Source organism: Homo sapiens, chromosome 17, assembly GCF_000001405.40.
Source record: "Homo sapiens chromosome 17, GRCh38.p14 Primary Assembly".
In the NCBI taxonomy this organism is placed as follows: domain Eukaryota; kingdom Metazoa; phylum Chordata; class Mammalia; order Primates; family Hominidae; genus Homo; species Homo sapiens.
The window spans coordinates 30645421-30671304 of NC_000017.11; the positions used below are offsets into that span (position 1 = coordinate 30645421).

A 25884-nucleotide genomic window follows, 5' to 3' on the forward strand; every position below is an offset into this window, starting at 1 on the left:
CTCGGTCTCCCAAAGTGCTGGATTACAGGCATGAGCCACCGCGCCCGGCCCTCTGTAGAAGTTCTTTCTGCCCAGGTTTGCTCTCTCTCTAAGCTCCCACAGGAGCTGTGGCTTGGGTTGTTCAAGGCCCCAAATTCCCGACTGGACTTCCTTTCTTCAGCTCTGCATTGGGGTGTGACCAGGACTGAAGTATTTTATTGAAATCATTGGCTCTCCTGATAGCAAACAGAGAGTTGGTGTCAGTAAGGCAGAGGAGAGTTTAGTCTGTAGTGTGCTATGGAGTAAGGGAGCAATGGAAATCGGGAGCTTAGTTTGAACACACTCAGTGTCCCCTTGTGCAGTGTCCAACCTGCCCAACCGTACCAGCCCACCCTGATTGAGGGACTAAAGAGTGGAGGAAAGGAAGGGGAAAGGGATTTCACTGACAGCTGGAGCCTTAGCCCTCGGGCCAAATGAAGGACCTTCCCAGAACAGAGTGACCCAGAAGGAAGCTGTGGCCCAACCACCAAGATGGGTAACCCTGACAGGCACAACCTGCCCTCTTGTCAATCAAGGCTGGACCACGTGGTGTGGGGAAGGGGTGAAGGACTAAGAGAGGGGGCAAAGAGGAGGGTAGGAAGGTCCTGGCCTAAACGACCCAGTTAGTTTCCCCATCACCCCCTACCCCCATCCTGTATCCCAGGGAAGTATAGTGCAGCTGGGTTCTTGGTTGCCATGGCGACTGACAAAAAAAAAGACTTGAGGGGAGGAAAACACCCCGGGGCATGAAGAAGCAATTTGCTCTCAGGTCTGGGAGTCAGCACCGGAATCAGAATGTCCTAAGAAGGAAAGAAAACTGAGCGAGCCGGGCTTGGGTAGGTGGCAAACCTTCCCAAGGCCCCCTGCCAGCCATCCTAAGAGAGAGAGGGTAGGGGCGACCCCAGCTCTGTGTGGGAGGCGCCAACTCTAAGCCCCCACCCCCGAGGCTGCCCCTCCCACCCGAAGCGTTTAGCACCCAGGGTCTGGGGTGGGGGGCGAGGCGGGGGCGGGGCTTCCCAACGGATTGCTTTTTTTTTTTTTTTTTTTTTTTTTTTTTTTTTTCTTAATTTCCAGTTCCGCCTTGGGACGAGTCCCTGGCTGGGGGAACCGCATCAGGCCTGACACCCATCCCATTCCCCCCTAAACCCAGAACGAGATCCAACCTCACTCCCCAGCCCCTTCCCGACCTCGCCGCTCAGGCTGTGATGGGAAGGTCCCTGGGAGTGGGGAGGAGGGCAAATTTAAACCCGGAGGGGATCCTGTAGCCCAGTTCTCCTCGGTTCCCTAAACCTCCAGGAAAGCGGAGAAAGTCACATTGTGGTGGCAGCAGCGGGTTTTTTTTTTAATCTGTTAATAAAACGCAAGTGAATCAAATCCGCCCTAAGGGAATTTGGGGGGCGCGGCGAGGCAGAGGCCATGGTGTTTGCAGAAGTTGGAAATTTAATAAGAAGGAAAAATAAAAATAGCCACTGTGCTGGAGAGAGAGAGAGAGAGAAGGTTGGGAGAAGCAGGCAAGTGTGGGACTCCTAGCTGGGTGGAAACGTGCAGAGGGGGCTGGGGAAGGCGAGGGCACCACTAGTCCGGAGGAGCAAGGGAGACACTGCTGGGGATACCAGGAGGGGAGTCTTTGGGGTGTCACCAGAACAGTCCAGTTCCTTGGCAGATTTTTCACCAGCAGTGAGCTGGGCACAGAGGTTGGGGTTTGGCCCTCTAAACACCTGGGTGTAGAGGTCCAGCCTCTGGTTACTTGGTCTTCACAGCGCCCCCCACCTTCTGAGCTACTCAAGAGATGGGGGACAGTAGCAGTACTGCCAAGAACAGTTGTGCAAGTTGCGCACTGCACAAGCATGCCAGACAGAGGCTAGAGCAGAAGCTAACATCATCTGTTCCCCTCACCACACATTGCATCTGCCCAGAGGAAGAGGTACCTTTTATTTATTTTATTTTATTTTATTTATTTTATTTTTTGAGATGGAGTCTCACTGTTATTGCCTGGGCTGGAGTGCAATGGCACGATCTCAGCTCACTGAAACCTCTGCCTCCCAGGTTCCAGCAATTCTCCTGCCTCAGCCTCCCGAGTAGCTGAGATTACAGGCGCCCACCACCACGCCCAGCTAATTTTTGTATTTTTAATAGAGACGAGGTTTCACCATGTTGGCCAGGCTGGTCTCGAACTCCTGACCTCAGGTGAGCTGCCCACCTCAGCCTCCCAAAGTGTGGGATTACAGGCATGAGCCACGGCACCCAGCAAGGAAGGGGTACCTTTTAAAGATCTACACAAGGCCGGGCGCCATGACTCATGCCTGTAATCCCAGCACTTTGGGAGGCCAAGACGGAAGGATCGCCCAGGACCTGAAGACCAGCCTAAGCAGCATAGGGAGACCACCATCTCTACAATAAATAAATAATGAGAAAATAAACATCCTGGCCGGGCGTTGTGGCTCACGCCTGTAATCCCACTGCTTTGAGAGGCCTAGGCAGGCAGATTGCTTGAGCTCAGGAGTTCAAGACCAGCTTGGGCAACATGGTGAATCCCTGTCTCTATGAAAAATACAAAAATTACCCAGGCATGGTGGCGCACAACTGTGGTCCCAGCTACTCAGGGGGCTGAGGTGGGAGGATCGCTGGAGTGGAGGCTGCAGTGAGCTGTGATCACGCCACTGCACACCAGCCTGTGTGACAGAGTGAGATCCAGCCTCAAAAAAAAAGAGAAAAGTCCACACAAAGTTGACAGTGAACCAGCTGCATCTCTGAACACATCCAGTGATACCCCCTCCACCCCGCTCCAGGAAACCCAAGATTGCTGACAGGCCCAGCTACAGCAGCTTTGAGCTGGCTGCAGCCTGTGGGGTCCTCTGGGAGCAGCTGAATGGAATTTGTTCATGCTTTCACTCAACAAGTATTTACTGGGTGTTTATTTCATGCCAGGTGCCGTGCTGGGCAGTGAATGAATGAACCTTGCCCTGGGGTTAACACTCCAGTGGGATGAACAGACAAACCCCACAAGCACTGCATACGGTATGCAAAATGGGGTGCATGCTATGGAGGGAAATACAGCTGGGAAGGGTGGGGGCGGGCAGGGGCCCTGGGTGCAATTTTTACAAAGTGACCTCACTGAGGAGGTGACATTGCAGCAAACCCAGAAGCAGGCAAGGAGGAGTCATGTGGCTGGCTGAGGGAACAGCATTTTAGGCAGGGGGAACAGCCTGTGCAAAGCACTGAGACCTTGTTTTGTGAATTGAGCACCTTGAAATATGGGTTGCTTGGCCCTAGTTAAGGTTCTGAAAGAGCCTTTAATTTTTTTTCCCCTAGACCTGGGTGGGGCGGCTCATGCCTGTAATCCTAACTACTCAAGAGGCTGAGGTGGGAGGATCACTTAAGTCCAGAAGGTTGAGGCTGCAGTGAGCCATGATCATACCACACGGCACTTCAGCCTGGGTGACAGAGCAAGACTTTGTCTCAAAAACAAAAAACAAAAAAATCCAATTCCGGCCAGGTGCGGTGGCTCATGCCTGTAATCCTAGCACTTTGGGAGGCCGAGGCAGCTGGATCACAAGGTCAGGAGTTCGAGACCAGCCTGGCCAAGATGGTGAAACCCCGTCTCTACTAAAAATAAAAAAAAATTAGCTGGGCGTGGTGGCATGTGCCTGTAGTCCCAGCTACTCGGGAGGCTGAGGCAGGAGAATTCCTTGAACCTGGGAGGCGGAGGTTGCAGTGAGCCGAGATCGTGCACTGCACTCTAGCCTGGGCGACAGAGCGAGACTCCATCTCAAAAAAAAAGAAAAAAAAAATCCAATTCCAACCTATACAAGGCAGCAGCTGTGAGGTGACACAAGTATGAACCCCATTAAGTCCCCCCAAAAGCCAAGAATCTTGGATTTCCTTCACAAGTGAATGACCCCCCCAAATCTTGAAGGAAAATCATTCTAGCAGCAAATCCTAGACAGGAGTTACTATCAGCCAGATATTGCCATCTGCCTTAACTGGTTTAATCCTGACAGTGAACCCCAATGATGTAGAAAATGTTACCACCATTTTTTTTTTTTAATACAGAGTCTTGCTCTGTCCCCCAGGCTGGAGTGCGCTAGTACAATCTTGGTTCACTGCAACCTCTGACTCCTGGGTTCAAGTGATTCTCCTGCTTCAGCCTTCCAAGTAGCTGGCATTACAGGGGCACGCCACCACACCTGGCTAATTTTTATATTTTTAGTAGAGATGGGGTTTTGCCATGTTGGCCAGGCTGGTCTCGAAGTCCTGACCTCAGGTGATCTGCCCGCCTCAGCCTCCCAAAGTGCTGGGATTACAGGCGTGAGCCACCGTGCCCGGCTGTTATCACCATTTTACAGGTGGAGAAACCAAGACACAGAACAATGCAGTGGCTCCCATGTGTGGATAAGAAGTAGCTTGTAGATTTGAACCCAGGACACCTTTCTGTGCATTGAGCCAGGCCGATCTGCACCCAGGCACCTGCCCAGGTGGATGCAGGGCCTGTGAGATTCTTCCAAGGCCTCCCATTTTGATGGGGTCCCCAGGCCTCCAGGCCTGCACTGGAGCTGGTCTGCTTCCAGGTGGAGCCAACGGAGGGTCCTGGTGCGGGGGAGTCGGCGTTGGTGGGTGATTGATGGTTTAATATCTCGCGCTGCGACCTGGGCCCCTCCTCTCCCACGCCTCTGTGGGTGGCCCCCAGTGAGAGGCGGAGATGGGATAATTCGGTTACCAAAAAGAGAATGAAAATTCCAGAGAGAGAAAGAGACAGAGAAAGAAGTGCAGACCAGGGAGTGCGCTGGGAGCTGATTTGGCAGGGCTGGGCTGGGCTTGGATGGGAGGGAGGAGGCCGACTCTCAAATCCGGAATCCCTCTGGGGGCCTGGGGACTCATAGGTCCCAGCCGTCTTCAACTCCCATCTGACTTCCTGTCTTGAGAACAGAGACAGCAGATGTGACAAGTGAGAGGTCACAGGCAGGGGCAAGGCCTCAGAGGAGAGGGAAGCATGTGGCCTCCGCCTGGGACAACTGCTGGCAGGTGAGGCCAAGGGGAGGTAGGGACTAGTGGAGTTGGGGTGGAGGGAACGGGAGACTCCAAGTTCCCAGCTCAGAGGCTTCTGGTCATCCTTGACTGGAGTCCTCTCTCTCTTTTTTTTTTTTTTTAGATGGAGTCTTACTCTGTCTCCCAGGCTAGAGTGCAATGGCATAGTCTTGGCTCACTGCAACCTCCGCCTCCCGGGTTCGAGCAAGTCTGCAGTCTCAGCCTCCCGAGTAGCTGGGACTACAGGTGTGCAGCACCACGCCTGGCTATTTTTTGTATTTTTGGTACAGACGGGGTTTCACTGTGTTGGCCAGGCTGGTCTCGAACTCCTGACCTCAAGTGATTCTCCCACCTTGGCCTCCCAAAGTGCTGGGATTACAGGCGTGAGCCACCGCGCCCCGCTGGAGTCCTCTCTTTTTTTCTCTTTCCATCCACGTTCGAACCTCGGACTTCATTTCTTCCCCACCTCCCCGGCCCTCACCTGGTCCAGCCCAGCATCCCTCACCTGGACTGTGCAGTTCCCTCTACCCTTGCTCAGGTCTCCAGCCTGGCCCTGAAGCCTGTTCCCTCCGCAGCCTCCAGAGGGCGCGAGCGAACACCTGATCAGGCCACGCCCCCTCCTCCCGCTCAGAACCCAGAAGGCTCCCAACTTGTGTTAATTTCCCATGGTTGCCGTCACAAGCTAGCGTTTTTTTAACGACGCAAATTATCCTACAGCTCTAGAGGTCAGAGATGTGGTTCGGGTCTCACCTGCCTAAGACCAAGATGTCAGCAGGCTGCAGTCCTTTCTTGGAGGTTTTAGGGGATGATCTATTTCTTGCTCATTTAGGGGTGCAAGATTCAGTTCCTCGGGGTTGTAGAACTGAGGCCCCTGTTTTCTTGCTGGTTGTCTGTTCCCCGTTTCTAGAAGTTGCGTGCATTCCTTGGCTCGTGGGCCCTCCCTCCATTTTCAAAGCCAGCAATGACGAGTCAAGTCCTTCTCATATGACAGCCTTCAACTCCCCTCTGCCGCCGCCTTGCACTTTAAGGACTTGTGTGATTAGATGATCCAAGGTCATTTCCCTGTCTGAAGGTCCTTAATTACCTAATCAGCAAAGTCCCTTTTGTTGCATGAGGTAGCAATTCACTAACCTTGCTTCTCAGGGCCTGGCTGTGTCCAAAGGACTCTTTCTCCTTTAGACACTTTTAAGTGTCTCACCTGTCCTCTGCCTCTCCCTGGGCACCTGCTCCCTGCTCAGCCTGCCTCTCCCGCAATTCAAGCCAGTCATATGCTTGACACTCCTCCAGGAAGCCTCCCTGAAGTACCCATGTTTATCAACCCACTGGAGCAGTTACCAGCCCCTTTCTCCTATCCTCCCCAGGCCACGAGATCTTGAAAGTTTAGGATGAGGAAGTAGATATGTTGGGAAGGAGGGCATTATTCTCCTTACCAACTGCCTCACTCAGAGCAAAACTCCAGTCCTCACGGAGGCCAGAAAACCCAGCTTTCTCCAAGCAGATGGGCCTCCTTACTGTTCTCCAAACTCACCAAAGACATCCTGCCTCAGGGCCTTTGCACAGGCTGTTCCCTCTGCCTGAGTCATCCTCCCCCAGATATCCACATGGCTCCTCCCTCACCTCCTCCAGGTCTCCCTTCACGTGTGCCCCTCCCCAGGGAAGCCTTCTCTGATGCACACACACCCAATTTACAACATCCACAGACTCTTATTGCTGCTTTTTTTTTTTTTTTTGAGACAGGGTCTCGCTGTGTTGCTCAGGCTGGAGTGCAGTGGTGTGCTTTCAGCTCACTGCAACCTCCACCTCCGAGTTCAAGTAATTCTCCTGCCTCAGTCTACTCAGTAGCTGGAATTACAGGCATGCTCCATGACACCTGGCTAATTTTTGTATTTTTAGTAGAGACGGGGTTTTGCCATGCTGACCAGGCTAGTTTTGAACTCCTAGCCTCAAGTGATCCGCCCGCCTCGGCCTACCAAAGTGCTGGGATTACAGGCCTGAGGCTGCTGTATTTTCTCCATTGCACTGGCTACTTTTGGCTACACCACAGAATATTCACTCCTTGTTCATCTTGTCATCGCCCAGGTCTCCCACTGGAAAGTCAGCTCCAAAAGGGAAGTTCCTCCACACTGTTCCCTTCTGGCTCTGTATGCCGCCCCCTTCCCTGGCCCTTGGCATACAGCAGGTGCTCAATAAGTGTTAAGGCTGGGCGCAGTGGCTCACGCCTGTAACTACCAGCACTTTGAGAGGCCGCGCGGACAGATTTGAGCCCAGGAGTTCAAGACCAGCCTGGCCAACATGGCAAAACCCCGTCTTTACTAAAAATACAAAAATTATCCAGGTGTGGTGATGCATGCCTGTAATCCCAACTACTCGAGAGGCTGAGAAATGAGAATTGCTTAAACCTGGGAGGCAGAGGCTGCAGTGAGCAGTGATCACGCCACTGCACTCCAGCATGGGCATCAAAGCCAGACTGTGTTTCAAAAAATAATAATAAGTGTTTGTTGAGTGAATGGATGGCAGGCAGGCAGGGCCCCAGCCCAGAGGAGGATGGGGACCCAGTGGAAGGTGGGAGCGGCGGGTGGAGAGGGATTGGTGTGGAGATGGTAGAGAAAAAGACCTTCTAGAACAATCCTGGGGGTCAGGTGGTCCCTGTGATGAACCATCATTGTGTGAATTCAGTCAAGGGCTGATCTCTCATGATCTCTATAATGTGCTTTTCACAGGGAAACATGTCCCCCCTGCCCCACAATCCCCTTGATAAAATCTTAGCTTTATGACTTTGTTCTCTGTTCATCTCAGATAACAGATGTTCCTGGAGTTGCCTTAGTCACAGGGCAGCGTGGCTTCAATTCAAAACAAGGAATGTCCAGACCCAAGCTGGGGCCTTGATTTAGACTTCAATCCTATTTCCTTCTGCCTCTCCTCCATCCCCACCAGCATCATGTTCTGGGGGTCTGGGTAGTGCAGGGGCCCCTTCCTTCTTGCTTTCCTCTCCTTTCCTTTCACGGCCAGGGCTGCAGCTCCAGGAGGGAATATAGTGTGTCAAATGGTGGCCCCCCAAAAGGATGTGTCCACATTCTGGCCCCTGCAACCTGTGAATGTGATGTTATTATATTCACTTTTTTTTTTTTTTTTGAGATGAAGTCTTGCTCTTGTCTCCCAACTGGAGTGCAATGGCGCGATCAAGGCTCACTGCAACCTCCGCCTCCCAGGTTCAAGTGATTCTCCTGCCTCAGCCTCCTGAGTAGCTGGGATTACAGGCGCCTGCCACCACGTCCATCTAATTTTTGTGTTTTTAGGAGAGACGGGCTTTCCCCATGTTGGCCAGGCTGGTCTCAAACTCCTGATCTCAGATGATCCGCCTGCCTCGGCCTCCCAAAGTGCTGGGATTACAGGTATGAGCCACCACGCCTGGCCAACTTATTTTTTTTTTTAAAGACATAGTCTTGCTCTGTCACTCAGGGTGGCTAGAGAGCAATGGCATGATTTCGGCTCACTGCAGCCTCGACCTCCCAGGCTCAAGTGATCTTCCCACCTCAGCCTTCCAAGTAGCTGGGACCATAGGCATGCAACACCATGCCTGGCTAATTTTTGTATTTTTTGCAGAGAGAGATTCTTGCTATGTTTCCCGGGCTGGTCTCAAAGTCCTGGCCTCGAGAGAGCCTCCCACCTCGGACTCCCAAAGTGCTGGGATTACAGGCGCGAGCCACTGCGCCTGGCCTGAATGTGATCTTAGGTGGATAAACTGTAACTGTCATAGGCCCATTGTTTGAGGCACTGGGCAAGTCAACATGCTGAGATACCAGTTTGCAGCAGAGAAGGAGGTTTAATCATAGGGCCACAGATCGAGGAGATGGGAGCAAATCTAAAATCCATCTCCTGGGTGGGTGTGGTGGCTCACACCTGTAATCCCAGCACTTTAGGAGGCTGAGGTGGGCAGATCACTTGAGGCCAGGAGTTTGAGACCACCCTGGCCAACATGGCAAAACCCTGTCTCTACTAAAAATACAAAAATTAGCCGGGCGTGGTGGTGCATGCCTGTAGTCCCAGCTACTTGGGAGGCTGAAGTGGGAGAATCAGTTGAACCTGGGAGATGAAGGTTGTAGTGAGCCAAGATCGCACCTCTGCACTCCAGCCTGGGTGACAGAGTGAGACTGTCTCAGAAAACAAACAAACAAAAATTTATAAATAAAAATGAAATAAAATAAAAAAATTCATCTCCCCGAGGAATTTGGGGCTGGGGTTTTTAAGGGGTATGGAGTGGGCCCAAGTGTGGAGATCCTTTGATTGGTCAAAGAGTGCAAGGTGAAGTCTTGGGAGAGAGGATTGGGCGGGAGTTGAGGGACAAGGGGTGGGTGAAGAAGCTGTATTCTCATGCTGATCCCATTCCTATATGCGGGGTCTTCTTCAGACTGGTTGCTGGAATTCAAGATCTGCAAAAACATCTGAAGTGATCCTTAAGCAAAAGCCATATGATCCTGACTGGGCGCAGTGGCTCACGCCTGTAACACCAGCACTTGGAGGCCGAGGCGGGTGGATCACTTGAGGTCAGGAGTTCAAGATCAGCCTGGCCAACATGGTAAAACCCCTTCTTTACTAAAAATGCAAAAATTAGCCAGGCGTGGTGGTGCACGCCTGTAATCCCGGCTACTCTGGAGGCTGAGGCAGGAGAATCGCTGGAACCCGGGAGGCAGCGGTTACAGTGAGCTGAGATCACATCAATGCACTCCAGCCTGGGTGACAGAGCAAGACTCCATCTCAAAAAAAAAAAAAAAAAAAAAAAAAAAAAAAGCCATATGCTCCTAATGTCAGAGATCCTGTCTGTAGAAACAATGGGATGTATTTGTGTTTTGTTTTGTTTTGAGACAGAATTTCACTCTTGATGCCCAGGCTGGAGTGCAATGGCACGATCTCGGCTCACTGCAACCTCTGCCTCCTGGGATCAAGCGATTCTCCTGCCTCAGCCTCCCCAGTAGCTGGGCTTACAGGCATGCACCACCATGCCTGGCTAATTTTTGTATCTTTGGTAGAGATGGGGTTTCTCCATGTTGGTCAGGCTGGTCTCGAACTCCCAACCTCAGGTGATCCACCCGCCTTGGCCTCCCAAAGTGCTGGGATTACAGGCGTGAGCCACTGCGCCCGGTGAAACAATGGGGTGTAAAAGTGCTACCTGACTTTTAGCAGCAAGGAAGGGGGCCCTAGTGCAGCCTGATTCATGGTTCATTGTAACTGTATTTCTGTCTGGAATCTAGCATGCAATCCTTGTCAACTCTGTAGGAGGGATTTTGAAAGGGTCATTGCAGATATTAGAATTCTCAAGATGAGATCATCCTGGAAAACATGGTAGTCCTAAATCCACAGACAACTCTCCTTAGGAGAGACACATAGAGGAGACACAGTAGAGAAGGACCCGTGAAGACGGAAGCAGAGGTTGGAAGGCTGTGGTTGCCACCGAGGAACGCCTGGAGCCCTCACAAGCTGGAAGGGGCCAGGAGGGATTCTTCCCTAGATCCTCTGTGGGGAGCGTGGCCCTGCAGATGCTTTGATTTCAGACTTCTGGCCTGTAGAACTGTGAGAAAATAGGTTTCTGTTGTTTTAAGTGACTCAGTTTGTGGTACTGTTATAGCGGCCACAGGAAGGAAACAAATCCGGGGGTCAGATGGTTCTCATTACACTGGGTCTGCTGTCAGCCAACCTTGCCTCTCAGGGCCTAGTGGTGTTCAGAATGAAATCTTTCACTTTCTTTTTTTTTTTTTTTTTTTTTTGAGACAAGGTCTCACTCTGTCACCCAGGCTGGAATGATGTAGTGGGGCAATCTCGGCTCACTGCAACTTCTGCCTCCCAAGTTCCAGCGATTCTCCTGTCTCAGGCCAAGTCAGGTGGATCACTTGAGGTCAGGAGTTCAAGACCAGCCTCACCAGTGAAACCTCATCTCTACTAAAAAAAAAAAAAAAAAAAAAAAAAAAAAACACAAAAATTAGCCAAGCGTGGTGGTGTCCACCTGTAGTCCCAGCTACTCGGAGGCTGAGGTGGGAGAATCACTTGAACCCAGGATGTAGAGGTTGCAGTGAGCTGAGATTGTGCCACTGCACTCCAGCCTGGGCAACAGAGTGAGGCCCTGTCTAAAAAAAAAAAAAAAAAAGGCTGGGTGCAGTGGCTCATGACTGTAATCCCAGCACTTTGGGAGGCCAAGGTGGGTGGATCACGAGGTCAGGAGTTCGAGACCAGCCTGACCAACATAGTGAAACCCCGTCTCTACTAAAAATACAAAAATTAGGTTGGGTGTGGTGGCTCTCACTTGTAATCCCAGCACTTTGGGAGGCCAAGGCAGGTGGATCACGAGGTCAGGAGATTGAGACCATCCTGGCTAACATGGTAAAACCCCGTCTCTACTAAAAATACAAAAAAAAAAAAAAATTTGCCGGGCATGGTGGTGAGCGCCTGTAGTCCCAGCTACTCCAGAGGCTGAGGCAGGAGAATGGCACGAACCCGGGAGACACAGCTTGCAGTGAGCCGAGCTCGCGCCATTGCACTCCAGCCTGGGTGACAGAGTGAGACTTCATCTGAAAAAAATTTATCTTCCGAGTAATGTGCAAAGGAAATCAGTATTCGGAAGAGCTATCTGCACTCCCAAGTTCTTTGCAGCACTATTCACAATAACAAGATATGGAAGCAACCTAAGTGTCCATCAATGAATGAATGGATAAAGAAAATGTGGTGCATATACACAATGGAGTACTGTTCAGCCTGATAAAAGAAGGAAATCTTGTCATTTGCAACAACGTGCATGAATCTGGAGGACATTATGCGAAGTGAACTAAGTCTGGCGCAGAAAGACAAATAGTTCATGATCTCACTTGCATGCAGAATCTAAAAAAAAAAAAAAGTCACATTCACAGAAGTAGAGAGTAGAACAGTGCTTACTAGAGTCTGGGGTCGCAGAAAACATGTGGCCCAAAGGATACAAAGTTTCCAGTAGGAAGAGTAAGTGCTGGTGATCTGTTGCACAGCAAGGTGGCTATAGCTAATCATAATGTATATTTTTTTCTTTTTCTTTTTTTTTTTTTTGAGACAGAGTCTCTTTCTGTTGCCCAGGCTGGAGTGCAGTGGCACAATCTCAGCTCAAGGCAACCTCCACCTCCCAGGTTCAAGCAATTCTCTGCCTCAGCCTCCTGAGGAGCTGGGACTACAGGCGCCCGCCACCACGCCTGGCTAATTTTTATATTTTTAGTAGAGACGGGGTTTCACCATCTTGGCCAGGCTGGTCTTGAACTCGTGACCTCATGATCCACCTGCCTCAGCCTCCCAAAGTGCTGGGATTACAGGCGTGAGTGACTGCACCCCGCCCCATAATGTATTTTCAAACTTGTGAAATGAGTGGATTTTAAATGGTCTCACTATAGGGTCTGGTGCGGTAGCTCACATGTGTAATCCCAGCACTTTGGGAGGCTGAGATGGGAGGATCACTTCAGCCCAGGTGTTCAAAACCAGCCTGGGCAATATTTTACAGAACCTGTCTCTAAAAAAACAAACTGTTCTTGGTACAAATAAATAAGTATGTGAGGTGATGGATATGTTCATTAGCGTGACTGCTTTATAATATATACAGTATTGAAACATCATATCATATTCCATAAACATATGCAATTACTTGTCAATTAAAAATAAAAATTAGGGATCAGATATGGTAGCTCACACCTGTAATCCCAGCACTTTGGGAGGCCAAGGCAGGTGGATCACTTGAGGTCAGGAGTTTGTGACCAGCCTGACTAACATGGTGAAATCCCAACTCTACTAAAAATATGAAATTAGCCGGGCGTGGTGGCACGCACCTGTAATCCCAGCTACTTGAGGGCCTGAAGCAGGAGAATCGCTTGAATCCAGGAGGGGGAAGTTGCAGTGAGCCAAGATTGTGCCATTGCACTCCAGCCTGGGCAACAGAGCAAGACTCTGTCAAAAAAAAAAGAAAGAGGCTGGGCACGGTGGCTCACGCCTGTAATCCCAGCATTTTGGGAGGCCAAGGTGGGCAGATCACAAGGTCAGGAGTTTGAGACCAGCCTGGCCAACATGGTGACACCTCATCTCTACTAACAACACAAAAATTAGCCGGGTGTGGTGGTGCGCACCTGTAGTCCCAGCTACTCAGGAGGCTGAGGCAGGAGAATGGCGTGAACCTGGGAGGCAGAGGTTGCAGTGAGCCAAGATTACCTAGTGACAGAGCAAGACTGTCTCAAAAAAAAAAAAGAGAGAAAAGGAAGGAAGGAAGGAGGGAGGGAGGGAAGGAGAAAGAAAGAGGAAGGAAGGAAGGAAGGAAGGAAGGAAGGAAGGAAGGAAGGGCTGGGCGCAGTGGCTCACGCCTGTAATCCCAGCACTTTGGGAGGCCGAGGCGAGCAGATCATGAGGTCAGGAGATCGAGACCATCCTGGCTAACACGGTGAAACCCCGTCTCTACTAAAAATGCAAAAAATTAGCCGGGCGCGATGGCAGGCGCCTGTAGTGCCAGCTACTGGGGAGGCTGAGGCAGGAGAATGGAGTGAACCTGGGAGGCGGAGGTTGCAGTGAGCCAAGCTTGCAGTGAGCCGAGATTGCGCCACTGCACTCCAGCCTGGGCAACAGAGCGAGACTCTGTCTCAAAAAAAAAAAGAAAGAAAGAAAGGAAAGAGAGAGAAAAAGGGAGGGAGGGAGGGAGAGAGAGAAAGAAAGAGAAAGAAAAAAAAGAAAAGGAAAGAAAAGAGAAAAGAAAAGATCTTCACTGTGGTCTGGCTTCCATTGCTAGTCGTTGTGTCTGCCTGGTTGAAATGTCCATCTTAGCATTCTGTTACTCTATCGGCATTCAGCTCTGGTAGTCACTGGTGTGACATTATTGCATAAATGTTCCTGGCCAACAGAGAAGGGGAAAATTTGTAGAAGGGAAGAAAGAATGGATGAGGGAGCATGGGTGGAAAACTTAAGGGTGGTCTGAGCTATACCCAGGAAGCCTCGGATTGGGAAAACCCAACTCTCAGCGTCCTTGGGGCTGAGAGCAACATAAGGTTTAGCAGCCTTAGTAATTTCTTTAAAATCTAAATTGGGGCCGGGTGCAGTGGCTCGCGCCTGTAATCCCAGCACTTTAAGAGACGGAGGTGGGTGGATCACCTGAGATCAGGAGTTCGAGACCAGCCTGGCCAATGTGGCGAAACTCCATCTCTACTAAAAATACAAAAATTAGCTGGGCATGGTGGCAGGCACCTGTAATCCCAGCTACTTGAGAGGCTGAGGCAGGGATAATTGCTTGAACCCAGGAGGTAGAGCTTGCAGTGAGCCGAGATGGTGCCACTATATTCCAGCCTGGGCAACACAGCAAGACTCCATCTTAAAAAAAAAATCTAAATTGGACCAGGCATGTTGGCTCACACCTGCAATCCCAGCACTTTGGGAGGCCAAGGAGACCAGCCTGGACAACACAGCAAGACCCCACCTCTGCAAAAAACTTTAGAATTTGCCAGGCAGTCACAAGTCCCACCCAGGTTTAGGAGGTGGGAACACAGGTCCTGTGATATGGTTTGCATTTGTATCCCCCCCCACCCAAATCTTATGTTGAATTGTAATCCCTGGTGTTGGAGGAAGGGCCAGGTGGGAGGTGATTGCATCATGGGGTCAGAGTCCTCCCTTGCTGCTCTTGTGATAGTGAGTGAGTTCTCACAAGATCTGGTTGTTTAAAAGTGTATAGTACCTCCCTCCTCTTTCTCTTGCTCCTTCTCCAGCCATGTTTCCCCTTGGCCTTCCACCATGATTGTAAGTTTTCTGAGGCCTCCCCAGCTATGTTTCCTGTACAGCCCACAGAACCATGAGCCAATTAAGCCTCTTTTCTTTATAAATTACCCAGTTTTGGGCATTTCTTCATAACAGTGTGAGAAGGAACTAATACACCCCGCCTCTCATGAGAGGAGTACCAGCACTTTGTAAGAAGAGCCTATGCAATATGATCAATACCAGGGCTGACAATCTTTGCAAATCACAACCTGTCATTCCTTTCTCACTTCCCAGCTTCCCTGTTGCTATTTCCTGGGATCTGCTCCCAGGTCAACAACTTACCCCTGCAAATCTTTGTCTCAGGGTCTCTGCCTTTGGGAGGACCCAAACTAAGATATCCCACAAAATCAATAGTGTGTTTATATAGCTGGTATAGGTGTATGTAAACATTTAGAAAAAGGTCTGTAAGGATACACTCCAAACAGACAGCAGTAGCTTCTGTAAGGAGGGAACTGGGATGGGGGTTGAGAGGGTTCATGTATTAGGCCGTTGCCTATATGGGTAAATTTGCTGTAAAGAAATATCAAAGAATGGGTACATTTTATTTTATTTATTTTACTTTATTTCACTTTATTGGAGATGGAGTCTCACTCTGTTACCTAGGCTAGAGTGCAGTGGCACGATCTTGGCTCACTGCAACCTCCTCCTCCCAGGTTCAAGCGATTCTCCTGCCTCAGCCTCCCAAGTAGCTGTGATTACAAGTGTGTGCCACCACACTGGGCTAATTTTTGTATTTTTAGTAAAGATGGGGTTTCACCATGTTGGCCAGGCTGGTCTCAAACTCCTAACCTCAAGTGATCCGCCTGCCTCGGCCTCCCAAAGTGCTGGGATTACAGACGTGAGCCATCACACCTGGCTAGAATGGGTAATTTATAAAGAAAAGAGGCTTAATTGACTCACAGTTCTGCGGGCTGTACAAGCACAGTGCTGGCACCTGCTTGGCTTCTGGGAAGATCTCAGGGAGCTTTAACTCATGGCAGAAGGTGAAGCAGGAACTTCACATGGCAAAAGCAGGAGCAGGAGAGAGAATGGGGTGGAGGGGAGGTGCCACACACTTAAACAACCAGCTCTCCAGGCCAGGCGCAGTGGCTCATGCCTGTAATCCCAACACTTTGGGAGGCCAAGGCAGGTGGATCATTTGAGGTCAGGAGTTCGAGACCACCCTGGCCAACACAGAGAAACCCCATCTTTACTAAAAATACAAAAAAATTAGCTGGCCGCAGTGGCGCAGGCCTATAATCCTGGCTACTCAGGAGGCTGAGGCAGAAGAATCGCTTGAATCCAGGAGGTGGAGGTTGCAGTGAGCTGAGATTGCACCATTGCACTCCAGCCTGGGTGACAGAGTGAGAATCCATCTCAAAAAACAAACAAACAAAACAACTAATTCTCCAAAGAACTCACTCACAATTGTGTGGACAGCACCAAAGAGATGACGCTAAGCCATTCATGAGGGATCCGCCCCCATGATCCAATCCCCTCCCACCAAGCCCCACCTCCAATATTGGGAATTACAGTTCAACATGAGATTTGGCAGGGAAACAGATCCAAACTACATCAGTTCATCTATAATATATGATTTTTTTTTTTTTTTGCCCCGAGGGAGGAAGAATTTTCTGAATCCCTGTGGTTAGTAAAAGAGAGAGGCGGCCGGGTGCGGTGGCTCACGTCTGTAATCCCAGCATTTTGGGAGGCTGAGGCGGGCTGATCACGAGATCAGGAGATCGAGACCATCCTGGCTAACATAGTAAAACCCCGTCTATACTAAAAATACAAAAAAATTAGCCGAGCGTGGTGGTGCATGCCTCTAGTCCCAGCTACTAGGGAGGCTGAGGCAGGAGAATGGCGTGAACCCAGGAGGCGGAGCTTGCAGTGAGCCGAGATCGTGCCACTGCACTCCAGCCTGGGCGACAGAGCGAGACTTCGTCTTAAAAAAAAAAAGAGAGAGAGAGAGAGACATGATCAGGAAGCCGTCATGATGACTCGTGGAGACACTGGCCCTGAAGTAGCTGCAACCCTCTTAATACACAGGAAGAAAGGGCTGGGATGCAGGAAGAAAGGGCTGGGAGGCAAACACAGGCAGCCCCTCTGTGAACCCTCAGGTAGGAGCCACCAGCCATTTTACTGCTGAGTTTAGCATTTGGGGTTGTTCAAGAGTTCAGGGCTTCTGGGAGACTAGAGAATGCCTTCATCTCCAGGGCACTAAAACCTCAGTTACCTAATCTGTGAAATGGGTATGATCATAGCAATCCCACAAAACTGCTGGTAGGGTTACATGTAATTATTTCTCCTTTTTTTCTTTTTTTAAGAGATGGGTTCTCCCTATGTATGTTGCCCAGGCTGGACTTGAACTCCTAGGCTCAAGTGATCCTCCCACCTTGGCCTTCCAATGTGCTGGGATCACAGTACATTTTTTCTTGTAGAAACAGGGTCTCCCTGCTGGGCACGGTGGTTCACACCTGTAATTCCAGCACTTTGGGAGGCTGAGGCGGGTGGATCACCTGAGGTCAGGAGTTTGAGACCAGCCTGGCTGACATGGTGAAACCCCATCTCTACTAAAAATACAAAAAATTGGCCAGGCGCGGTGGCTCACGCCTGTAATCCCAGCACTTCGGGAGGCCAAGGTGGGTGGATCACGAGGTCAGGAGATGGAGACCATCCTGGCTAACACGGTGAAACCCCATCTCTACTAAAAATACAAAAAATTAGCCAGGCGTGGTGGCAGGCACCTGTAGTCCCAGCTACTGGGGAGGCTGAGGCAGGAGAATGGTGTGAACCCGGGAGGCAGAGCTTGCAGTGAGCCGAGATCGTGCCACTGCACTCCAGCCTGGGCAACAGAGCGAGACTCCATCTCAAAAAAAACAAAAAACAAAACAAAACAAAAAATTAGCTGGGTGTGGTGGTGGGCACCTGTAATCTCAGCTACTCAGGAGGAGGAAAATCGCTTGAATCCGGGAAACAGAGGTTGCAGTGAGCCGAGATCACACCATTGCACTCCAGCCTGGGTAACAAAAGCAAAACTCTGTCTTACAAAAATAATAATAATAAAATAACAATGGATTGGTTGAGAGATCACCGTATGCCAGAAGTTGCTTTAAGCATTTTGCATGTATTAATCCATTTTACACCTCACAATATCGCTACCAAGTAGAAACGATTATCTCGATTTTGTAAAAGGTGAAACAGGAAAAAACCACTAGAGCAGAGCTGGCAGACCCTCAACCTTCTTTTCCTTCTGACTCCAAATGACAGACAGCATTCTTTCCATCTCTCACCTCCTCATGCCTCCTGTGGAAAAAATGAATGAACAGATGAGAAAAGTTGGAGCTGGAGAAAGACCGTGTTCCTCGTGTTCTGTGAGACCTGGGAAGGCTGCTAAAACCCAGGGAGCAGGAGTTCTCCTCCCTCCATCCTTATCCACAGTCTGGGTCCCATCCAGACCCTCCTCTCCAAACCGGGGGTTTGCGACAAAGCAGGTGAGGGAGGCATTTCATTCCAGAGCAGAAGAAGGGGTTTCCTCCCCCATCCCACTCCCGTTTCATTTTTAAGGGGAAAAGCAGCTCCCCATACGGTGAGGCAATGAGGCGGACCAGCAGGTTCCCGGGGATCTCTGCAGCCCCGTTGCCATAACAACCGAACTCACTCGCAGCCTCTGATAGGGGAGTCAGCTGGGACCACAGCTTGGGCAGGAAAGGGATGAGGGAGTAGGAAAGAAACTTCAAGATCAACCACTGGCCCTCACACCGAGCTGCGCACACCCCAAGGCCAAGGGAGGCTGGAAACCCTTGTCATCCTTGGGAAATGGGGGAGGGCACTGGTACCCCTGGGACCTCCCTCCTGAATCTGGGCAGCTTTAAACATTTTTTTTCCAACTTTGGAAGACAGTTGTACAACCTCGAAGGAGAGGAGGTGTCACGATTCACAAAGCGTATGGATCACACATGGCTCTAGGGGACATTCTCTTTGCTCTGTTTTATTTTGAGATAGGGTCTTGCTCTATTGCCCAGGCTGGAGTCCAGTGGCATGATCACACCTTACTGCAGCCTCAAATTACTGGACTGAGGTGATCCTCCTGCCTCAGCCATGTGAGTAGCTGGGACTACAGACATGCACCACCACACCTGGCTAATTTTTAAAATATATATGTTTTTGTAGAGATAGGGTCCTGCTACATTGCCCAGGCTGGTCTCAAACTCCTGGCTTCAAGTGATCCTCCTGCTTTGGCCTCCCAAAGTGTTGGGATTATAGGCATGAGCCACTGCATCCAGCATCATTTCTTTTCATTATTATTATGATTATTATTTTGAGATGGAGTCTCGCTCTGTCACCCAGGCTGTAGTGGAGTGGTGTGACCTCAGCTCACTGCAACCTCCACCTCCCAGGTTCAAGTGATTCTCCTGCCTCAGCCTCCTGAGGAGGTGCGATTACAGGTACCCTCCACAATGCCTGGCTAATTTTTTTTTCTTTTTGAGACGGAGTCTTCCTCTGTCTCCCAGGCTGGAGTGCAATGGCGCGATCTCAGCTCACTGGAACCTCTGCTTCCCAGGTTCAAGCAATTCTTCTGCCTCAGCTTCCTGAGTAGCTGGGACTACAGGCAGGCGCCCACCACACCTGACTAATTTTTGTATTTTTAGTAGAGACGGGGTTTCACCATATTGGCTGGTCTCAAACTCCTGACCTTATAATCCGCCCACCTCGGCCTCCAAAGTGCTGGGATTACAGGCGTAAGCCACCGTCCCTGGCCTAACCTGGCTAATTTTTATATTTTTAGTAGAGACGGGGCTTCACCATGTTGGCAAGGCAAGTCTCGAACTTATGACCTCAAGTGATCTGCTCACCTTGGCCTCCCAAAGTGCTGGGATTACAGGCGTGAGCCACTGCACCCAGCCTAATTTTTTTTTTTTTTTTTAATGAAGACAGGGTCTCACTACATTACCCAGGCTGGTCTCGAGCTCCTGGCCTCAAGCGATCCTCCCATCTCAGCCTCCTGAGTAGCTTGGATTACAGGCACAAGCCATCATGACTGGCTTCCTCTTTTTTTTTTTTTTTAATGAATATGGTAAAGTGCACAAATCATAAATTTCAGCGTGGTGAATTTCTACACATGTATACCCATGTATCCACCATGCAGACCAGAAGAACATATTTGTCCCTCCAGGAAATTCCCAAATGCTCTTTCTCAGTCAATATCCTCCAATTTGACATTTTCATCATAGATTAGTTTTGCCTACCCCTGAACTTTGTGTAAGTGGAAATACATGGTTTGGCATCTTGCTTTTATGCAACATTGTATCTGTGAGAATCTATTGTCATGTCTGTTTTCCTGTTCTTTTTCTTTGTTGTATAATATTCCATTGTGGAGATGTATCACAATGTATTTATCTTACTGCTGATAGATATTTGAGTTGTTTGCAGTGAATGGTTATTGTAGATAAAGCAGCTATGAACATCCTTGTACATGTCTTTTGATGAACATAAGTTTACCTCTTGTGGGGATGTGGACAGGGTCTCACTCAGTAACTCAGGCTGGATCGCAGGAACCTGGCTCACTGTAGCCTCAACCTCCCAGGCTCCCGAATAGCTGGGACCACAGGTATACACTATCACACCCAGCTAATTTTTTTGTAATTTTTGTAGAGACAGGGTCTCGCTTTGTTGTCCAGGCTGCTCTTGAACCCCTGGTTCAAACTATCCTCCTGCCTTGGCCTCCCAACATGCTGGGGTTACAGACATGAGCCACTGTGCCCAGCATCTTGGTTTATTGAATGCTGGCGACCTGCCAAGAACTTTACATCAGTTATATCCTTACATAGTCACAACATTATTTATTTAATTCACTCATTCAACACATATTTGAAAATCTAGTAGGTGCCAGGTATTGTGGGACACACCGAGAATAAGAATCAAGGTTTATAAATTTTGGCCAGGCGCGGTGGCTCACACCTGTAATCCCAGCACTTTGGGAGGCCGAGACAAACAGATCACTTGAGGCCGAAACAAACGGATGATGGAGGCCAGGGCAGAAGCCAGGAGGCTGTGGCCAAGGCAACCTCAGTAAATCCAGGCAAGTGATGAAGGAGTTGGGAAGCACAAACGTGAATTCACGTTCTCTCTCTTTTTTTTTTTTTAGAGACAGGGTCTTGCTCTGTTGCCCAGGCTGGAGTGCAGTGGTGCGACCTCCGCTCACTGCAACCTCCGCCTCCCAGTTCAAGGGATTCTCGTGCGTCAGCCTCCCAAGCAGCTGGGATGACAGGCATGCACCACCATACCGGCTAATTTTTGTACTTTTTTTTTTTTAGTAGAGACAGGGTTTCACCATGTTGGCCAGGCTGGTCTTGAACTCCTTACCTCAAATGATCTGCCCGCCTCAGCCTCCCAAAGTGCTGGGATTACAGGTGTGAGCCACTGTGCCTGGCCCTTAACTTGACTTATTTTTTCAAAAAGTTTTTTTTTTTTAATTTGAGACGGGTTTGGCTATGTTGCCCAGGCTGGTCTCCAACTCCTTGCCTCATGTGATCCTCCCACCTCAGCCTCAGGTTCTTTGAACATAATTATTCCCAACTTACAAGTAGAGAGAACTGAATCTCAGAGAGGTTAACTTGCCTAAGGTCACACAGCTATGAAATGGAGAAAGGGTAAGAAAATCCGTCTGACCTTCCTTCAGTTATGCAAAAGATGTCATGTGGTGGGTGGTGTGACCTCAGAAAACCTAGAAGAGTTGGGGGTCCAGGCTGGTGGTGGGGTAAAAGACCCAAGTGAACACACCTGTCCTGCTGGGGTCACTACTCACCCCTAGGCCACAGGGCAAGCAAAGTGGCAAGCCGCAAATTGAATTGTGGGGCTGGAGGGGGATGTTTCATTGATGTCACAAATGAGCATGGACCCCATATCTGCAGCAGGGATGGTTCAGGGCCAGTCAAGGAGATGATCGGGGCCCACGGACCCTCAAACGCGTCAGGAAGCCAGGTTGGTCCCTGAGTGTGTGTGATGGGGTGTGTGTTTGTTGGGGGGACTGCCGCCGCCCGCCCCATTAGCACCGTCATTATCCCAGATTTACGTATGTATAATTTTTCTTCCTCCCCCTCCCCAAACCGCTCCAACATCTCTCCTGGCTGCAAACCCGCCTCCCCCAGAAACAGCCACGGAGCCGCCTGCCACCGGGCCATTAGCACGCAGGGAAGGGGGTGTGGAGGGAGGGGGCAGGCAGCAGGGAAGGGGAAAGGGGGAGCCAGGAGAGGACGAGGGAGGCAGGAGCTGTAAGGATGGGAGTGAGGCGGCAAGATGGAAGAGAAGAGGGGAAGGAAACAGGGCTTGGAGGAGATGGGGAACCTCTGAGGGTTCTGGGGGGAGGGGGGGACACGTGTCCCAGAGGACCTGGCCGCAGACAGCGGCCCCAGGGGCAGCCGAGGGTCTCCTGCGCCCTTTCTGGCCAATGCCAGGGCTGAGAATAGGGGTGTGGGGGTCCCATCGGCCGGGACTCTGTGGCTGGGTCTCAGCCCAGAAGTTACTAGAGGGCCTCGCGCCGGAACCCCTCCCCCACTCTGGGAACCTCCGCCTGCGGGGTGGGGTGGGGGTCTCCAGGCTGGGCGCGGGGAGGGCGCCGGCTGCAGAGCTGGGAGCCCGGAGCGATGACTCCATCACCCTCCACTTTTCCCTCCTCGCCCCCGAACCTGGCCCCCTCCCTTCTTGCGCCCCTCGGGTTGGGGGCGCGGGAGAGCCCCCCTCTATTACGAGGGAAATCAATGCCGCATTAATGCAAGGTTTCCAGGCAAGGAGAGGGGATCGCTTCATAAAAGATGCATTGTTCCCATTGCCTGCACGCGGCTCCCTCCCCAGCATCCTGCAAGATGGCGGCGGCCCCAGGGAGGGAGGGGGAGGGGCTGGGGGGAGCGCGGCCCCCTCTCTCCGGCTGGGGAAGGTGGGAAGAGAGGCCGGGATAAAGGAAGGAAAGGGAGAGAGGGAGGGAGGAGGGGGCTGGGAGGCTGAGAGAGCGTTGGGGAGGCGGGAGCCAGTCAGAGGGAGGAGGGCGGGCTGGGGAGGAGGAGAGAGGGGATGGCTGGGAACTCGGAGGAGGGAAGAGGAACGAAGCCCAAGGAGGTGGCACGGGGGAGGCAGGAGAGCAGGCCGGGGGGTTGGGAGTGGGGGGCGCTGGGGCCTGGAGGGGGGCAGGCGGGGGTGGGGGCAAAAGGGGAGGGAAAGGGGAGAAAAAGGCCGACTGGGCAGCGTGACCAGGAGAGAGGGGAAGACAGTACCCCCTCAACTGTCCCTAGGCTCCAAGCCCCCCTCCAGCGGGGCCCCTTGGTTCTCTCTCTTGGTCCCCGTACACCCTCCCGCCGAGGAGATGATCCAGGGAGCCCCCATTTTCTGGCATGGAGGCCGCTGCACCCCATTGGCTTGCCTCCCTACCCTCCTTCCTGCCTTGGCACCACGGCTGCCATGCTGAGAGGGATCAAGCCTCCTCCATCTGCCTCCCAAGTCAAGGCCTCCAGAGTTGACCCGAAAGAGCTCCTTAGGAAGAAACTGCCGTTTGGGCACACCTGCATCCGTCCTACCTGCTGGGGACGGTTCCAGAAACCAGACAGAGTTTCCAGAGAGGGAAACTGGGGCAGAGGACAGCCGAGAACTCAACACGGGGGGGCAGCGCCCCACCCGTGACCCCAGACCAACCTCAGCCCCCCTCCTCCCCGCCTTTTCTTCCATCCTCCGCTGGCAACCACGAAGAGAGTTTCAAGGCCCCCCACTTCCCAGCCTTCCTGCTTCGCCTAGGGGAGCTCCCAAACGCCTGAAAATATCTTTAAATTAGGAAAAGAGCTAAGCCGCCAGAGTCCTTTGGTCTATTAAAGGAAGAGCAGAGGCCACCGGCGCCCCCACCCCATCCCCAGCCCGGTTTTGCATTTGAAGCCCTGACCGCGGATCTAGCCGGAACAATGACCGGGCCTGCCCAGCCGGCCCCAGCTGAATCCCTTTCAGTGGTCCTGGGCCCCCTGCCAGGTGTGCCAAAATGAGGACGGCTCCCCTCCTAGGCCCTTTTCATCCCCTCGGGGCTGCTGGGGCCTCAGAGGCGCTAATGAAGCGCCTCTTGCCGCCTTCCCTCTAGGAAGAGGGGGCCTGGGGGAGCGGGAGGCAGGGCCACATTGGGGGCAGGCGCCTGGAAATCTGCCTTCCAAGAACTGCCCCAGGAACATGTTTTTGTGCCTTGGTCAGCAGCAGCTCCCTCCCTCCCTGCTCCTCAGAGTCCTCCCACAGGTTCTGGTGACATCCACCTCCTCCAGGCAGCCCTCCCAGCCTGCTGGCATTGGCTCCCTACTGTGTTTCCTTCGGAGTTCGGCAGTGGGGGCAGGCTGCCTGGATTCAGATTGGAGCTCCATTGCTTTCTGGCTGTGGCTCAATTAGCCACCCTGAGCCTCAGTTTCCCCACCCGTCAAGAGAGGAGAATTATAAAAACCTATGTCATGAGACTGTTGTGAAGGAGTCGCTGTGTGAAGAAATGTGGAAGGTCACACGTGCAAAGTGGGTGCAATAATCCCTAGACTTTCGCCTCAGCCATAGGGGCCCCTCACTGCACCCCAGACACACCCAGTGTGTGCCCATTTCTGGGACTTCCCACTGGCTGTTCTCTTTATTTTATTTGTATTTGTATTTTTTCTTTTGAGGCGGAGTCTTGCTCTGTAGCCCAGGCTGGAGTGCAGTGGTGCAATCTCGGCTCACTGCAACCTCCACCTCCTGGGTTCAAGCAGCTTCCTGAGTAGCTGGGATTACCGGCGCATGCCACCACGCCCAGCTAATTTTTGTATTTTTAGTAGAGACGGGGTTTCACCATGTTGGCCAGGCTGGTCTAGAACTCCTGACCTCAGGTGATCCACCTGCCTCGGTCTCCCAAAGCGCTGGGACTACAGGCATGAGCCACCGCGCCGGCCTTTTTTTTTTTTTTTTTTTTTTTTTTTTTTTGAGACGGAGTCTAGCTCTGTCGCCGAGGCTGGAGTGCAGTGGCCTGATCTCGGCTCACTGCAAGCTCCGCCTCCCGGGTTCACGGCATTCTCCTGCTTCGGCCTCCTGAGTAGCTGGGACTACAGGCGCCCGCCACCATGCCCGGCTAATTTTTTGTATTTTTAGTAGAGACAGGGTTTCACTGTGTTAGCCAGGATGGTCTCAATCTCCTGACCTCGTGATCTGCCCACCTCGGCCTCCCAAAGTGCTGGGATTACAGGCGTGAGCCACCGCCCCCGGCCTTCTTTTTTTTTTTAAGATGGAGTCTCGCTCTGTCACCCAGGCTAGAGCACAGTGGTGTGATCTCACTGCAACCTCCGCCTCTTGGGTTCAAGCGATTTCTCCCACCTCAGCCTCCCAAGTAGCTGGGACCACAGGCACATGCCACCACACCTGGCTAATTTTTGTATTTTTAGTACAGACAGGGTTTCATCATGTTGGCCAGGCTAGTCTCAAACTCCTGACCTCAGGTGATCCGCCTACCTCTGCCTCCCAAAGTGCTGGGATTACAGGTGTGAGCCACCTTGCCAAGCCCAGTGGTCCCTGTTATTTACCATCATCTGTCTTACAGCCAGCTGACATTGTATTACTTACCTGAACTCAGGATCTTAGGCTCTCGAATCCAAGAACCTGGGTTCAAATCCCGGCTTCACAGTTATTAGCTGTGTGACATTGGGCATGTTCCTTAACTTCTCCGAGCCCCTTTCCTCATTTATAAAATGAGGATGGTAATAAAACCCACCTGGAGCCGGGTGCAGTGTCTGGAGTCTGTAATCGCAGCCACTCAGGAGCTCAAGGTAGGAGGGTCCCTTTAGGCCAAGAGTTTGAGACCAGCCTGGGCAACATAGCAAGACCCTGTCTCTACCAAAAAAAAAAAAAAAAAAAAAAGCCAGGCACAATGGCTTACACCTGTAGTCTCTAAAAAAAAAAAATCCACAAGGCCAGGTGCGGTGGCTCACACCTGTAATCCCAGCACTTTGGGAGGCTAAGGTGGGCAGATCACCTGAGGTCACAGGAGTTCGAGACCAGCCTGGAGGGGAGGTTGGAGTGCAGTGGCACAATCTCGGC

General features: G+C 51.4%; 1 long non-coding RNA gene across 3 annotated transcripts in view, besides 42 other annotated features; it reads left to right on the top strand.

The window, feature by feature from the left end:
• Positions 431 to 725: a silencer, noted in NCBI's record as "tiled region #474; K562 Repressive non-DNase unmatched - State 23:Low". NCBI's record gives its function as "represses a minimal TATA promoter and a strong SV40 promoter by Sharpr-MPRA in K562 cells {active_cell/tissue: K562}" and the evidence as "EXISTENCE:reporter gene assay evidence [ECO:0000049][PMID:27701403]".
• Positions 1152 to 1302: a non allelic homologous recombination region, noted in NCBI's record as "sub-region SER1, recombines with sub-region SER1' within the NF1-REPc PRS1 recombination region". NCBI's record gives the evidence for it as "EXISTENCE:nucleotide sequencing assay evidence [ECO:0000219][PMID:26614388]".
• Positions 1152 to 6353: a biological region, named in NCBI's record as "NF1-REPa PRS1 recombination region". NCBI's record gives its function as "recombination_partner: LOC106113037".
• Positions 1547 to 1696: a non allelic homologous recombination region, noted in NCBI's record as "sub-region SER2, recombines with sub-region SER2' within the NF1-REPc PRS1 recombination region". NCBI's record gives the evidence for it as "EXISTENCE:nucleotide sequencing assay evidence [ECO:0000219][PMID:26614388]".
• Positions 1556 to 1571: a nucleotide motif, noted in NCBI's record as "nucleotide motif; similarity to the predicted 16-mer PRDM9 C-type binding motif, CCNCNNTNNNCNTNNC". NCBI's record gives the evidence for it as "COORDINATES:motif similarity evidence [ECO:0000028][PMID:21750151, PMID:26614388]".
• Positions 1624 to 25884, top strand: part of LOC105371723 (uncharacterized) — a 58422-nt gene continuing 34161 nt past the window's right edge. Inside the window, exons 1-3 of one of the 3 annotated variants that reach the window (XR_001753096.2) lie at positions 1624 to 1942; positions 2947 to 3036; positions 18141 to 18305. This is a non-coding gene — a long non-coding RNA (uncharacterized LOC105371723). Of the gene's footprint in view, positions 1943 to 2946; positions 3037 to 9451; positions 9572 to 18140; positions 18869 to 25884 lie in introns of those variants that run through there. The other 2 variants (XR_001753095.2, XR_007065703.1) reach the window with 2 other exon arrangements.
• Positions 1696 to 1956: a non allelic homologous recombination region, noted in NCBI's record as "sub-region SER3, recombines with sub-region SER3' within the NF1-REPc PRS1 recombination region". NCBI's record gives the evidence for it as "EXISTENCE:nucleotide sequencing assay evidence [ECO:0000219][PMID:26614388]".
• Positions 2314 to 2641: a non allelic homologous recombination region, noted in NCBI's record as "sub-region SER4, recombines with sub-region SER4' within the NF1-REPc PRS1 recombination region". NCBI's record gives the evidence for it as "EXISTENCE:nucleotide sequencing assay evidence [ECO:0000219][PMID:26614388]".
• Positions 2641 to 2981: a non allelic homologous recombination region, noted in NCBI's record as "sub-region SER5, recombines with sub-region SER5' within the NF1-REPc PRS1 recombination region". NCBI's record gives the evidence for it as "EXISTENCE:nucleotide sequencing assay evidence [ECO:0000219][PMID:26614388]".
• Positions 3012 to 3069: a non allelic homologous recombination region, noted in NCBI's record as "sub-region SER6, recombines with sub-region SER6' within the NF1-REPc PRS1 recombination region". NCBI's record gives the evidence for it as "EXISTENCE:nucleotide sequencing assay evidence [ECO:0000219][PMID:26614388]".
• Positions 3036 to 3051: a nucleotide motif, noted in NCBI's record as "nucleotide motif; similarity to the predicted 16-mer PRDM9 C-type binding motif, CCNCNNTNNNCNTNNC". NCBI's record gives the evidence for it as "COORDINATES:motif similarity evidence [ECO:0000028][PMID:21750151, PMID:26614388]".
• Positions 3082 to 3340: a non allelic homologous recombination region, noted in NCBI's record as "sub-region SER7, recombines with sub-region SER7' within the NF1-REPc PRS1 recombination region". NCBI's record gives the evidence for it as "EXISTENCE:nucleotide sequencing assay evidence [ECO:0000219][PMID:26614388]".
• Positions 3519 to 3651: a non allelic homologous recombination region, noted in NCBI's record as "sub-region SER8, recombines with sub-region SER8' within the NF1-REPc PRS1 recombination region". NCBI's record gives the evidence for it as "EXISTENCE:nucleotide sequencing assay evidence [ECO:0000219][PMID:26614388]".
• Positions 4029 to 4077: a non allelic homologous recombination region, noted in NCBI's record as "sub-region SER9, recombines with sub-region SER9' within the NF1-REPc PRS1 recombination region". NCBI's record gives the evidence for it as "EXISTENCE:nucleotide sequencing assay evidence [ECO:0000219][PMID:26614388]".
• Positions 5392 to 5404: a nucleotide motif, noted in NCBI's record as "nucleotide motif; similarity to the predicted 13-mer PRDM9 A binding motif (LD hotspot motif), CCNCCNTNNCCNC". NCBI's record gives the evidence for it as "COORDINATES:motif similarity evidence [ECO:0000028][PMID:19165926, PMID:26614388]".
• Positions 5452 to 5850: a non allelic homologous recombination region, noted in NCBI's record as "sub-region SER10, recombines with sub-region SER10' within the NF1-REPc PRS1 recombination region". NCBI's record gives the evidence for it as "EXISTENCE:nucleotide sequencing assay evidence [ECO:0000219][PMID:26614388]".
• Positions 6057 to 6353: a non allelic homologous recombination region, noted in NCBI's record as "sub-region SER11, recombines with sub-region SER11' within the NF1-REPc PRS1 recombination regi". NCBI's record gives the evidence for it as "EXISTENCE:nucleotide sequencing assay evidence [ECO:0000219][PMID:26614388]".
• Positions 20408 to 25884: part of a non allelic homologous recombination region, noted in NCBI's record as "NF1-REPa PRS2 recombines with NF1-REPc PRS2", that runs on past the window's edge. NCBI's record gives the evidence for it as "EXISTENCE:nucleotide sequencing assay evidence [ECO:0000219][PMID:15236313]".
• Positions 20804 to 20934: a non allelic homologous recombination region, noted in NCBI's record as "sub-region SER1, recombines with sub-region SER1' within the NF1-REPc PRS2 recombination region". NCBI's record gives the evidence for it as "EXISTENCE:nucleotide sequencing assay evidence [ECO:0000219][PMID:26614388]".
• Positions 20944 to 21175: a non allelic homologous recombination region, noted in NCBI's record as "sub-region SER2, recombines with sub-region SER2' within the NF1-REPc PRS2 recombination region". NCBI's record gives the evidence for it as "EXISTENCE:nucleotide sequencing assay evidence [ECO:0000219][PMID:26614388]".
• Positions 21244 to 21793: an enhancer, noted in NCBI's record as "H3K27ac-H3K4me1 hESC enhancer chr17:28993682-28994231 (GRCh37/hg19 assembly coordinates)". NCBI's record gives its function as "activates a minimal SCP1, AML or CMV promoter by ChIP-STARR-seq in primed H9 embryonic stem cells {active_cell/tissue: H9 hESC(primed)}" and the evidence as "EXISTENCE:reporter gene assay evidence [ECO:0000049][PMID:30033119]".
• Positions 21341 to 21405: a non allelic homologous recombination region, noted in NCBI's record as "sub-region SER3, recombines with sub-region SER3' within the NF1-REPc PRS2 recombination region". NCBI's record gives the evidence for it as "EXISTENCE:nucleotide sequencing assay evidence [ECO:0000219][PMID:26614388]".
• Positions 21548 to 22218: a non allelic homologous recombination region, noted in NCBI's record as "sub-region SER4, recombines with sub-region SER4' within the NF1-REPc PRS2 recombination region". NCBI's record gives the evidence for it as "EXISTENCE:nucleotide sequencing assay evidence [ECO:0000219][PMID:26614388]".
• Positions 21794 to 22342: an enhancer, noted in NCBI's record as "H3K27ac-H3K4me1 hESC enhancer chr17:28994232-28994780 (GRCh37/hg19 assembly coordinates)". NCBI's record gives its function as "activates a minimal SCP1, AML or CMV promoter by ChIP-STARR-seq in naive and primed H9 embryonic stem cells {active_cell/tissue: H9 hESC(naive and primed)}" and the evidence as "EXISTENCE:reporter gene assay evidence [ECO:0000049][PMID:30033119]".
• Positions 22039 to 22054: a nucleotide motif, noted in NCBI's record as "nucleotide motif; similarity to the predicted 16-mer PRDM9 C-type binding motif, CCNCNNTNNNCNTNNC". NCBI's record gives the evidence for it as "COORDINATES:motif similarity evidence [ECO:0000028][PMID:21750151, PMID:26614388]".
• Positions 22062 to 22077: a nucleotide motif, noted in NCBI's record as "nucleotide motif; similarity to the predicted 16-mer PRDM9 C-type binding motif, CCNCNNTNNNCNTNNC". NCBI's record gives the evidence for it as "COORDINATES:motif similarity evidence [ECO:0000028][PMID:21750151, PMID:26614388]".
• Positions 22172 to 22184: a nucleotide motif, noted in NCBI's record as "nucleotide motif; similarity to the predicted 13-mer PRDM9 A binding motif (LD hotspot motif), CCNCCNTNNCCNC". NCBI's record gives the evidence for it as "COORDINATES:motif similarity evidence [ECO:0000028][PMID:19165926, PMID:26614388]".
• Positions 22218 to 22547: a non allelic homologous recombination region, noted in NCBI's record as "sub-region SER5, recombines with sub-region SER5' within the NF1-REPc PRS2 recombination region". NCBI's record gives the evidence for it as "EXISTENCE:nucleotide sequencing assay evidence [ECO:0000219][PMID:26614388]".
• Positions 22343 to 22892: an enhancer, noted in NCBI's record as "NANOG-H3K27ac-H3K4me1 hESC enhancer chr17:28994781-28995330 (GRCh37/hg19 assembly coordinates)". NCBI's record gives its function as "activates a minimal SCP1, AML or CMV promoter by ChIP-STARR-seq in primed H9 embryonic stem cells {active_cell/tissue: H9 hESC(primed)}" and the evidence as "EXISTENCE:reporter gene assay evidence [ECO:0000049][PMID:30033119]".
• Positions 22547 to 22787: a non allelic homologous recombination region, noted in NCBI's record as "sub-region SER6, recombines with sub-region SER6' within the NF1-REPc PRS2 recombination region". NCBI's record gives the evidence for it as "EXISTENCE:nucleotide sequencing assay evidence [ECO:0000219][PMID:26614388]".
• Positions 22748 to 22760: a nucleotide motif, noted in NCBI's record as "nucleotide motif; similarity to the predicted 13-mer PRDM9 A binding motif (LD hotspot motif), CCNCCNTNNCCNC". NCBI's record gives the evidence for it as "COORDINATES:motif similarity evidence [ECO:0000028][PMID:19165926, PMID:26614388]".
• Positions 22787 to 23524: a non allelic homologous recombination region, noted in NCBI's record as "sub-region SER7, recombines with sub-region SER7' within the NF1-REPc PRS2 recombination region". NCBI's record gives the evidence for it as "EXISTENCE:nucleotide sequencing assay evidence [ECO:0000219][PMID:26614388]".
• Positions 22864 to 22879: a nucleotide motif, noted in NCBI's record as "nucleotide motif; similarity to the predicted 16-mer PRDM9 C-type binding motif, CCNCNNTNNNCNTNNC". NCBI's record gives the evidence for it as "COORDINATES:motif similarity evidence [ECO:0000028][PMID:21750151, PMID:26614388]".
• Positions 23227 to 23239: a nucleotide motif, noted in NCBI's record as "nucleotide motif; similarity to the predicted 13-mer PRDM9 A binding motif (LD hotspot motif), CCNCCNTNNCCNC". NCBI's record gives the evidence for it as "COORDINATES:motif similarity evidence [ECO:0000028][PMID:19165926, PMID:26614388]".
• Positions 23287 to 23302: a nucleotide motif, noted in NCBI's record as "nucleotide motif; similarity to the predicted 16-mer PRDM9 C-type binding motif, CCNCNNTNNNCNTNNC". NCBI's record gives the evidence for it as "COORDINATES:motif similarity evidence [ECO:0000028][PMID:21750151, PMID:26614388]".
• Positions 23420 to 23435: a nucleotide motif, noted in NCBI's record as "nucleotide motif; similarity to the predicted 16-mer PRDM9 C-type binding motif, CCNCNNTNNNCNTNNC". NCBI's record gives the evidence for it as "COORDINATES:motif similarity evidence [ECO:0000028][PMID:21750151, PMID:26614388]".
• Positions 23524 to 23638: a non allelic homologous recombination region, noted in NCBI's record as "sub-region SER8, recombines with sub-region SER8' within the NF1-REPc PRS2 recombination region". NCBI's record gives the evidence for it as "EXISTENCE:nucleotide sequencing assay evidence [ECO:0000219][PMID:26614388]".
• Positions 23637 to 24063: a non allelic homologous recombination region, noted in NCBI's record as "sub-region SER9, recombines with sub-region SER9' within the NF1-REPc PRS2 recombination region". NCBI's record gives the evidence for it as "EXISTENCE:nucleotide sequencing assay evidence [ECO:0000219][PMID:26614388]".
• Positions 24148 to 24245: a non allelic homologous recombination region, noted in NCBI's record as "sub-region SER10, recombines with sub-region SER10' within the NF1-REPc PRS2 recombination region". NCBI's record gives the evidence for it as "EXISTENCE:nucleotide sequencing assay evidence [ECO:0000219][PMID:26614388]".
• Positions 24317 to 24469: a non allelic homologous recombination region, noted in NCBI's record as "sub-region SER11, recombines with sub-region SER11' within the NF1-REPc PRS2 recombination region". NCBI's record gives the evidence for it as "EXISTENCE:nucleotide sequencing assay evidence [ECO:0000219][PMID:26614388]".
• Positions 24485 to 24874: a non allelic homologous recombination region, noted in NCBI's record as "sub-region SER12, recombines with sub-region SER12' within the NF1-REPc PRS2 recombination regio". NCBI's record gives the evidence for it as "EXISTENCE:nucleotide sequencing assay evidence [ECO:0000219][PMID:26614388]".
• Positions 24874 to 24899: a non allelic homologous recombination region, noted in NCBI's record as "sub-region SER13, recombines with sub-region SER13' within the NF1-REPc PRS2 recombination region". NCBI's record gives the evidence for it as "EXISTENCE:nucleotide sequencing assay evidence [ECO:0000219][PMID:26614388]".
• Positions 25798 to 25810: a nucleotide motif, noted in NCBI's record as "nucleotide motif; similarity to the predicted 13-mer PRDM9 A binding motif (LD hotspot motif), CCNCCNTNNCCNC".